Here is a 12,402-nt window from a genome sequence, read left to right as displayed (position 1 = left end):
TGATACTTCAATCAGTTTCAGCATGTCTGAAATCTTTAAGGACAAAAGTGATAAAACATGACTTCATTCTTCATTAGCCTCTTAGAACACTTGAAGGAAAATAATTTCTGAAGCACGAAGAGGTAAAGAGGTGTAATCTTTCAAAAAGATATTCAGTGTTCAAAATCCAAGAGTGCAATATCAGGCTGGGTGCGGTGGCTTATGCCTGTAATCCCAGCACTTTGGGAGGCCATGGTGGGTGGATCACCTGAGGTCAGGAGTTCGAGTCCGGCCTGGACAACAGGGTGAAACTCTGACTGTACTAAAAATACAAAAATTAGCCAGGCATGGTGGTGTGCACCTGTAGTCCTAGCTACTTGGGGGGCTGAGACAGGAGAATCGCTTGAACCTGGGAGGTGGAGGTTGCAGTGAACCGAGATCATGCCACCTCACTCCAGCATCAGTAACAGAATGAGATTCCATCTCAAAAAAAGAAAAGAGTGTAATATCGGTATACACAGATAATATACTGAATGAAACAAATAGAATAATTTGAAGAGGTATCTTGATGAACAAGGAGTCATTAGAAAGGTTGTATTTATGTCTTTGAAGGAAATTGCAATGTGAGAAATTAATACTTTGACTACTATACTAAAAGTTTATTGCTAACATCTATTGAGTTATTAACGTGTGTTAGGCAGAGTACCATATAATTTACAAGTGTTATCTCATTTATTGTAGGTAAAATGTAATTTCAAACTCTGGGAGTATAAATGAATTAGATAGAATAAAATTCTATTTAAATGGCCATCAGTAAATCGGTATCTAGGAACAGGGTGATACAGTGCCCAAGTTTTCTATTCTTACTAAATGTTGTGTTTCCTTTTCAATGTTTTCTTGGATATTGCTCTTTTTTGGTGATTTTGATTTTTTTTATTTTAGAAAACTAATAAATTGACTCTTCTTGGTACTGACTCGGGTTTTATAGAAGAAAAAGTAATTAAATTCTGTACATTTACCTTTACCTCATTTTTTCTCTTTTAAATTTACTTTAATTGACATACAATAAATGTACATGTTATGGGGTACAGAGTGATATTTTGATATATTTATGCAATGCGTAAAGATCAAGTCAGAGTCATTATCATATCCATTACCTAAATCATGTATTATTTCTTTGCAGTGAGAATATTCAAAATCTTTTCTTTTAGTTATTTGAAAACACACAATAAATTCCCATTAACTACAGTCACCCAACAGTGCTGTAGAGAACTAGAACTTCTTCCTTCTCTCCAGCTGTAATTTTGTATGTATTAAGCACATTTTTCTTATACTCTTCTTTCTCCTACTCTTTCCAGGATATGGTAACCAAAACTCTACTATCTACTTCTACGAGATTAAAAATTTTAGCTTCCATACATAAGTGAGAACACGTAGTTATGTGGTGTTTATATTTCTATGCCAGGCTTATTTCACCTAACATAATGCCCTCCACTTGCATTCTTGTTGCCACAAACAACAGGATTTTGTTCTTTATTATGACTAAATAATATTCCATTATATATGTATGTCACATTTCTTTATCCATTCATCTGTTGATGGACACTTTTGTCGATTCCATATCTTGGCTATTGTGAATAGTGCTGTAATAAACATGGGGGTGCAGGTAACTCTTTGATATACTGATTTTCTTTCCTTTGGATATATACTGAAAACCATATGATTAAATTAATAAACACAATAAAAGCGTTTGGCAAAATTAAATATTCTTACATGACAAAAAACTTCTCAACAATTTAGTATAGAAAATATATGCCTTAACACAAAGGACATAAAGGACAAATCTACAGCTAAGATCATACTGAGTGTGGAAAAGGTGAAAGATTTTACTGTGAACAAGAAAAAGATTTTACTGGAACAAGAAAAGGATGCCTATTCTCACCAATCATATTTCACATAGTGAAAGTCTTAGCCAGGACAATTAGGTGAGAGAAAGAAATAAAGGACATCTGAATTGGAAAGGAGACAGTCAAATTGTCCTTGTTTAAAGACAATGTGATCTTATACATGGAAAAAAATAAGACTCTACCAAAAGCTTCTCAGGGTGATACATGAAATTAATAAAGTTGCAGGATATAAATCAACATACAAAAATCAGTAGCATTTCTATATATTGATAGTAAACTAGCTGAAACAAGAAATTAAGAAAGCAATTCCTTTTACAATAGCTACAAAAATGTACTTAGAAATAAATTTAACCAAGTAAAAGATTTCGACAACAAAAATGACAAATATTAATGAAAGAAATTAAAGAAAACATAAAAAAGCAAAGACATCCACGTTTATAGATTGAAATAATATTCTTAAAATGACCCACTATCCTATGTGATTTACAAATTTAGTACAATCACTAGCTTGTATTTTTAAAAGCACCTTTGCTGCATATTCTTAACATATTCAATGACAATGCCTGGATTTAAGTTTGAGGTATTATTATATCTATTTTATACTGGGCACAATATAATGTTATCAGAGGTAACGGTTTTGATTGGTCCTAGGTCATACAGTAATATATACATTGTCATTTATAGACATGCTATCTTTTAATACTCAGGCATTTAGAAAGTTCATTTAGACAAAGTTATAAAAACTTGCCTTCCTTTCTGCCTATATCACCTAAAAATCCTAATTTAAGAGGTAATAACATTTTTTATTTGATATACAATTTATCAACACAATAAAAATCTAACAATTATCATGTGCAGAGTGTGAAAATCTCATCAGATTAAGGAACACAAAGACATCTTTTTCATATTTTGAATGTAAAACTGTTTTGGAAACTGTTATTTTTAGAAACAGTTAAAAACATTGTTTCATTAGTTTTTCATGTAAAATTGTGACAACCAGCATGAAATAACTGTCATCACAGAAGCATGGTATATTCGATTCCGAAACATATTCTTTGTAAGTTTTAATATATTTATGTATTATTTATACTTAATTGTAACCCATAATGTACAGATATTATTTTTCCTTCAACTCTTAAGAATATTCTTAAATAATAAAATTAATGAATTATAATTTTTGTTGGTTGGGAAAAAGATACACACGTGACAGTGCATCACTTCACCTCATCATTTCATCTCATTTCATCTTATCCCATCTCATCTCATCATTTCATATCATCTCATCATTTCATCTCATCATTTCATCAAATCTCATCTCATCTCATTTCCATTTCATTTTCATTATTTCATCATTTCATTTCATTATTTCATTTCATGTAATTTCATTTATTTCATTATGTCATTTCATATCATCTCATTTCATTTCATGTCATATTTTTTATATCATTTTTCGTATCATTTTTCATCTCATTTCATCTCATGTCATATTTTTTATATCATTTTTCGTATCATTTTTCATCTCATTTCATCTCAATTTCATCTCATCATTTCATCTCACCTCATCATTTCCTCCTTTCTTTTCAACATTTCATCTCATTTCCTCTCATCTCATTTCAATTTTATTTCGTTATTTCATCTCATTTCATTATTTCACCTAATTTCATTATTTCATCTCATCTCATCTCAATTCATCTCATCTCATCTCATCATTTCATCTCATCATTTTTCATCTCATCATTTTTCATCTCATCATTTAATCTCATTTCATTTCATCTCATTTCAGCTCATTTCATGTCACATCTCTTCATCATTTCAACATTTCATTTCATCTCATTTCATCTCATCTTTCAATTTCATTTCAATATCATCAATTCATCATTTCATTTCACTTCATTATTTCATTATTTCATTTCATTTCAATTCATCTCATCATTTTTCATCTCATCATCTCATTTCATCATTTCATCTTCACCTCATTTCATTATTTCATTTCATTTTTTCATTTCATTGTCATTTCATTTCATCTCATTACATTTCATCTAATTTCATTTCACCTCATTTCATCTCATCATTTCATTTCATCTCATCATTTCATCTTTTCATCTCATTTCATCTCATCATCTCATCAACTCTTTTCATCTTATCATTTCATTTCATCTCATCATTTCATCTCATCTCGTATCTTATCTCATTTCAATTTCGTTTCATTATTTCATGTCATCTCATCTCATCTCATCATTTCATCTCATCATTTCATCTCATCACCTCATCATTTCATCATTTTATTTCATCATCTCATCATTTCATCTCATCTCGATTTTATTTCAATTTCATTTCACTATTTCATTTCATCTCATCATTTCATCTCACCATTTCATTTCATCATCTCATCTCATCATTTCATTTCATCATTCATCTCATCATCTCATCATTCATCTCATCATTTCATATCATCATTTTATCTCATCTATCATTTCATCTCATTTCATCTCATCTCATTCCATCATTACATCTCATTTCATCTCATTTTATGTCATCATTTCATGTCATCATTTCATCACATCTCATCTCATCATTTCATCTCATCATTTCATCATTTCATCTCATTTCAACTCATTGCATCTCAGCTCATCATTTCCATTTCATTATTCCGTTTCATCATTTCATTCATTATGTCATTTCATCTCATATTTCATCTCATCATTTCATCTCATTTTATCTCATCTCATTTCATCATTTCATCTCATCATTTCTTACCTCATCATTTCCATTTCATTTTCATTTCATTATTTCATCATTTCATTATTTTATTTCATCTCATTTCATTATTTCATTTCATTATGTCATTTCATTTCATCTCATTACATTTCATCTAATTTCATTTCACCTCATTTCATCTCATCATTTCATTTCATCTCATCATTTCATCTTTTCATCTCATTTCATCTCATCATCTCATCAACTCTTTTCATCTTATCTCATCATTTCATCATTTCATCTCATCATTTCATCTCATCTCGTATCTTATCTCATTTCAATTTCATTTCATTATTTCATGTCATCTCATCTCATCTCATCATTTCATCTCATCATTTCATCTCATCACATCTCATCATTTCATCATTTTATTTCATCATCTCATCATTTCATCTCTCATTTCGATTTCAATTTCATTTCACTATTTCATTTCATCTCATCATTTCATCTCACCATTTCATTTCATCATCTCATCTCATCATTTCATTTCATCATTCATCTCATCATCTCATCATTCATCTCATCATTTCATATCATTTTATCTCATCTATCATTTCATCTCATTTCATCTCATCTCATTCCATCTCATCTCATTCCATCATTACATCTCATTTCATCTCATTTTATGTCATCATTTCATGTCATCATTTCATCACATCTCATCTCATCATTTCATCTCATCATTTCATCTCATTTCAACTCATTGCATCTCAGCTCATCATTTCCATTTCATTATTCCATTTCATCATTTCATTCATTATGTCATTTCATCTCATATTTCATCTCATCTCATCATTTCATCTCATTTTATCTCATCTCATCATTTCATCATTTCATCTCATCATTTCTTCTCATCTCATCATTTCCATTTCATTTTCATTTCATTATTTCATCATTTCATTATTTTATTTCATCTCATTTCATTATTTCATTTCATTATGTCATTTCATTTCATCTCATTACATTTCATCTAATTTCATTTCACCTCATTTCATCTCATCATTTCATTTCATCTCATTTCATCTTTTCATCTCATTTCATCTCATCATCTCAACCCTTTTCATCTTATCTCATCATTTCATCATTTCATCTCATCATTTCATCTCATCTCGTATCTTATTTCATTTCAATTTCATTTCATTATTTCATGTCATCTCATCTCATCTCATCATTTCATGTCATCATTTCATCTCATCACATCTCATCATTTCATCATTTTATTTCATCATCTCATCATTTCATCTCATTTCGATTTTATTTCAATTTCACTATTTCATCTCATCATTTCATCTCACCATTTCATCATCTCATCTCATCATTTCATTTCATCATTCATCTCATCTCATCATTCATCTCATCATTTCATATCATCATTTTATCTCATCTATCATTTCATCTCATTTCATCTCATCTCATTCCATCATTACATCTCATTTCATCTCATTTTATGTCATCATTTCATGTCATTTCATCACATCTCATCTCATCATTTCATCATTTCATCTCATTTCAACTCATTGCATCTCAGCTCATCATTTCCATTTCATTATTCCATTTCATCATTTCATTCATTATGTCATTTCATCTCATCATATTTCATCTCATCTCATCATTTCATCTCATTTTATCTCATCTCATCATTTCATCTCATCATTTCTTCTCATCTCATTTCCATTTCATTTTCATTTCATTATTTCATCATTTCATTATTTTATTTCATCTCATTTCATTATTTCATTTCATTATGTCATTTCATTTCATCTCATTACATTTCATCTAATTTCATTTCACCTCATTTCATCTCATCATTTCATTTCATCTCATCATTTCATCTTTTCATCTCATTTCATCTCATCATCTCAACCCTTTTCATCTTATCTCATCATTTCATCATTTCATCTCATCTCGTATCTTATCTCATTTCAATTTCATTTCATTATTTCATGTCATCTCATCTCATCATTTCATCTCATCATTTCATCTCATCACATCTCATCATTTCATCATTTTATTTCATCATCTCATCATTTCATCTCATTTCGATTTTATTTCAATTTCATTTCACTATTTCATTTCATCTCATCATTTCATCTCACCATTTCATTTCATCATCTCATCTCATCATTTCATTTCATCATTCATCTCATCATCTCATCATTCATCTCATTTCATATCATTTTATCTCATCTATTTCATCTCATTTCATCTCATCTCATTCCATCATTACATCTCATTTCATCTCATTTTATGTCATCATTTCATCACATCTCATCTCATCATTTCATCTCATTTCATCATTTCATCTCATTTCAACTCATTGCATCTCAGCTCATCATTTCCATTTCATTATTCCATTTCATCATTTCATTCATTATGGCATTTCATCTCATCATATTTCATCTCATCTCATCATTTCATCTCATTTTATCTCATCTCATCATTTCATCATTTCATCTCATCATTTCTTCTCATCTCATCATTTCCATTTCATTTTCATTTCATTATTTCATCATTTCATTATTTTATTTCATCTCATTTCATTATTTCATTTCATTATGTCATTTCATTTCATCTCATTACATTTCATCTTTCATCTCATAATTTCATCCATCATTTCATTTCATTTCATCATTTCATCTCATGATTTCATCTCATCTCATTATCTCATTTCATCTCATTATTTCATCTCATTTCATCTCATCTCATTTCCTCATTTCATTTCACCATTACATCTCATCATTTCAACTCATCTCATTTCAATTTCATCATTACATTTCATAATTTCCTTTCATTATTTCATTTCATTTCATCTCATTTCATTATTTCATTTCATCTCATTTTTCATCTCATCATTTTTCATCTCATTTCATTTCATCATTTCATCTCATCGTTCATCTCATCATTTTATCTCATTATTTCATCTCATATCATCTCATTTCAATTTCATTATTTCATATCATTTCATTATTTCATTTCATCTCGTTTCATCTCATTTCATCCATCATCTCATTTCATCTCATTTTATCTCATCTCCTCTCCTTTCAATTTCTTTTCAATTTTGTCATTTCGTCTCATCATTTCATCTCATCATTTCTACTCACCATTTCATCTCAAAATTTCATCTCATCATCTCATCTCATCATTTCGTCATTTCATCTCATCATTTCATCTCAAGTCATCATTTCATCTAAGTGAAATGATGTAATGGAATCATGAAATGAAATGGATAGGATGCCCTCACTGATGTTAAATTTAAAAATTGTTTCTTTTCATGTATGCATTTTTATATTTATATTTACTTATAGTTATTTTTACTTTTTATTTATATTTTTACTTATTTCTTTATTTATAAACAAGGTCCTGTTCTGTGGCCTAGGCTGGAATGCAGTGGTGCATGGTGCATTCACAGTTCACTGAAGCCTCAAGCAAACCTCCCACCTTAGCCTCCCAGGTAGCTGGGACCCCAGGTGCGCACCACCACACCTGGTTAATATTTTATTATTTGCAGAGATGGAGTCTTGCTATTCTGCCCAGGCTGGTCTCAAACTCCTGGGCTCAAGCAATCCTCCTGCATTGGCAACCCAAAATGCTGGGATGCCAGATATGAGCCACAGTGCCCAACCTATTTATTTATTTATTTATTTATTTATTTATTTATTTATTTATTTAATAAAGACAAGGTCTCACTATGTTGCCCAGGCTGGTCAACTCCTGGACTCAAATGATTCTCCAAACTTGGCCTCTCAAAATGTTGGGATTACAGGTATGAGCCACCATGCTTGGCCTAAAAATAGTATTATATTTTTGTATCATATAATTTTCAATTAGGTATTATGAATATTCTGTACAGGAAACACACCCTTAATTACATAGGAATAAACATTTGTTACACTGAGAAAAATCTAATAGAGCTAAAAATAAAAATTAATTTGGAAAGGTCATTAGATACTGATACATTCTTACGTTTATACATTCTTTCATATATTCATATATCCTTTTAACAGTATCAATGGTTTGGAGTTACGTGTACAAAGCCATGACCCATATGTAATACAACTAATAACAGGCACTTACAATTCAAGGCATATTATATACAAAGCTTTAACTTCTTATCAAAATATTTTACTTTTTTCTTTCTGTTTTGGCAGATACTATGAACACAACATTCAACTCACAGACACCATGGAGCCCTTACTAAGCATAAAGTACTGTGAAAGGCCAGGGCTAGGACAGAACTGAGACAGGGCCAGGGATAGGACAGAACTGGGGCAGGGTCATGGCCAGAGAAAAACCAGGGGCAGGGTCACAGCCAGGGACATGAGAGGACCAAGGCCAGGTCCAGAAGCAGGGAAGAACCAGGGCCAGGGCAGGGACATGGCAGGGCCAGGGCCATGGCAGGATCAGGGTCAGCAGAAGGCCAGGGCAGGGCTAGGGTGGCACAGGGCCAAGGCAGGGCAGGGTCAGTGTAGAGCAAGGAACGGGCCAGGGTATGGCAGGGCAGGGACAGGGAGGTCCAGGGCCAGAGTCAGGTCCAGGACCTGGACAGGGCAGGGCCAGAAACATGGCAGGACCAGAAAGGGGACAGGGCAAGGGCAAGGCCAGAGAAGGACCATGGGAAAAACATGGCCAGGGAGGGTCCAGGGCAAGGGCAAGTCCAGGGCAGAACCAGAGCCAGAGCAGGCCAAAGGCAGGGCCAGGGCAGGGCAAGGCCAGGATAGGGCAGGGCCAGTGTAGGGTGAGGGTAGGACCAGGGCGAGTTCAGGGCCAGGGCAGGACTAAGATAGCACAGGGCTAAGGCAGGGCCAAAAGGAGGGGCCAGGGCCAAGCATGGCCAGTGTCAGACCTGGGGATTGTCAGGGTCAGGGTCAAGGCTGGTCCAGGGACAGGGCCAGAGCAAGGGCAGGGCCAGGGAGAAAGCAGAACCAGAGAGGATCCAGAGCAAGGCCAGGGTCAGGGCAGAACCAGGACCAGGATAAGGCAAAGCCAAGGCCAGGGCAGGGCAAGGCCAGGGCAGGGCAACACCAGGGAAGGGCAAGGCCAGGGTAGAAAAGGCCAGGGTAGGGCCAGGCCAGGGTAGGAGAAGGCCATGGTAGGGCCAAGGCCAAGGCAGGGCAGGGCTAGGGTAGCACAGGGCACGGCCAAAAACAGAGCAGGGCCATAGCAGTGGCAGGACTAGCAACAGGGCTAGGGCAAGCGCTGGACCAGAGCATGGTGGGGACAATATAGGGCCAGGACAGAGGATGGCAAGGCAGGTCCAGGGCCATTTCATGGACTCAGTAGGCCTGGGGTCAGGCCAGGGCAGGGCAAAGGCAAGGCCAGGAAGAAGGCAGGGCCAGGGCCAAGGCAGTGCCAGGGCAGGGCAGGACCAGTGCAGGGCCAATGCAGGGTGAGGGCAAGGCCAGGGCATGGAAGGGCAGGGCAGGATCAAGGAAGGGCCAGGAGAGGGCCACGGCAGGGTCATGGCGAGAACAAGGGTATGGCTGGGGTCAGGAATATGGTAGGATGAGGGCTGGGCCCAGGCTGGGGCACGCAGGGCAGAGCATGGTCTGTGCAAGGCATGGCCAGAGCCAGGCCATAGAGATGGGAGGGCAACACCAAGGCAGAGTCAGGGTAGATCCAGGGCTGAGCAGAGTCAGGGCAGGTCCAGAGTCGAGGCAGAGCTAGGGCCCAAGCAGCGCCATGGTAGCACCAGGGCAGAGGAGGGCAGGGCAATGCAGGACTGGGCCATGGCAGTGCCTGGTCAACTCCGGGGCAGGGCCAGAAGCAGGACAGGGCCAGGGCCAATGCTCAGGCCAGGGACAGGACATGACAGGATGTGCCAGAGCAGGGCTGGGCCAACGTTGGGGCAGGGCAAATCAGACCAGGACACCTCCAAGTCCAGCTCTGGCCCTGCCTTGGCCCTGGCCCCTTCCTGGCCTGACCTTGTCCCTGGCCCTGCCCTATCCATGCCCTGTGTGTTTGACCAGTGTTTTATAACCAGAATCCTACAAGAAACTTAAATTAGTTCTTTTTGTGCATTTTTAGTAGAGATGGGGTTTCACAATGTTGCCCAGGCTGGTTCCAAACTCCTGAGCTCAAGCCATCTGCCTGCCTTGGCCTCCCAAAGTGCTGGGATTACAGGAGTAATCTGGCCAAGTATTTACCTTCTTTTTGCCTGTTTCCTACATTTGGAAAATGGGGATGCTTTAAGTACCTAGCATATAGAATTATTATGAGAATCAATGCCTCACATATTTACATGTTGATAAAATTATACTCATAGAACACTACTGGAAGCAAAGATAGTATTAGTTAAAATTTAGTGATTACTGCAAGTATTATTACTATTACAAACAACATAGTATAGACATTACTACTACTATAGTTATCTTAAAAATCTAAAATAAAAATTTTAGTAATAGCCTAAAGTAATCTCTCCTGCTCTGCCCTGGCTCAGCCCTAGTGCCGGCTCTGCCCCTAGTCCTACTACATCCCTGGCCCTGACCCTTCCCTGGTCCAGCCGCTGCCCTGGCCCTTCCCATCTTCAGGCCTTAACATGGCCCTACCCTGGTCCTGACCCTGCCCTGGTCTGGTCCTGACCCTGGCCCTACCCCAGAGAAGGGGTATGGCAGAGCCAGGGAAGGGCCGGGGCAAATAAGGGACAGGACACATCCAAATCCAGGAACGGGCCAGGGCCATGACAGAGCCAGGGCGAGTCCTTGGCAGGGCCAGGTTCCAGGCCAGGACCAGGAAAATGTCATGGCAGGGTCACTGTATGGCCAAGGTCCAGGCCAAAGCCAAGGCAGTGGCAGGGTCAGGTCTGCATAAGGGCAGGACCAGAGCCAGTGATACGGCAGGGCCAGGGCCAGGGCCAGGGCTGTGCCAGGACAGAACAAGAGCAGAGCAGGGCAGGACCACAGCCAGGCCATAGAGAGAGTAGGGCAAATGCCAAGGCAATGCCAGGGTAGTGCCAGGGCTGAGGCAAGGTCAGGGAAGGTCCAGGGCTGAGTCAAGGCTAGAACCAAGATGGGGCAAAGGCCGGGGCAGATCTAGGGCACAAGCGGGGCAGATCTAGGGCACAAGCAGGGCAAGCTAGGGCAGGGCAATGGCAAGACCAGGCCATGGCAGGGCCAGCCCAGGATAGAACAGGGCACAGGCAGGGCAGGGCCAGGGCCACGGCTGGGGCAGGACAAGGACCAGGACCGGGGTCCAGGCCAGGGCAAGGGTATGGCCAGGGCAGAGGTAGGGCCAGAGCCAGGGTCTGGGCAGGACCAAGGCAGGTCTATTGCAGGGCCAGGGTTCAGACCAGGGCCAGAGCAGGGCTGGGACAGGGCCAGGGCCAGAACCAGGAAAGGGCAATGTCAGGACAAGGGCCATGGCAGGACCAGCAACGGGGCTAGGACCAGGACAGGGACAGGGACAGGGTCAGGGCTAGGGCCAGAATAGCATGCCAGGGTAGAGCCAGGCCAAATTAGGGCCAGGGCTGGGCCAGGGTATGGCCTTAAGTAGTGAAGGGCCAGGGCCAGGGTCCATGCCAGTGCCAGTGCCGGTCCAGGGCAGACGCAGGGCCATGGCCAGGTCTAGGACAAGGCTGTGGCAGGGCCAAGGTCTGGGTCAGGGTCAGCATAAGACCAGGACAGAGCCAGGGGAGGGACAGGGCCATGGTAAGACCAGGTTAAACCATGGACAAGACACCTGCAAATCCACTTCAGGGCCAGGGTCAGGGCAGGGCCAGTTCAGGGCCAGGGTAAGGGCTGCCAGGGTCATTGGCAGGGCCAGG

The sequence above is a fragment of the Homo sapiens genome, chromosome 9, assembly GCF_000001405.40.
Source record: "Homo sapiens chromosome 9, GRCh38.p14 Primary Assembly".
In the NCBI taxonomy this organism is placed as follows: domain Eukaryota; kingdom Metazoa; phylum Chordata; class Mammalia; order Primates; family Hominidae; genus Homo; species Homo sapiens.
Note: the sequence above shows the minus strand (reverse complement) of the source record.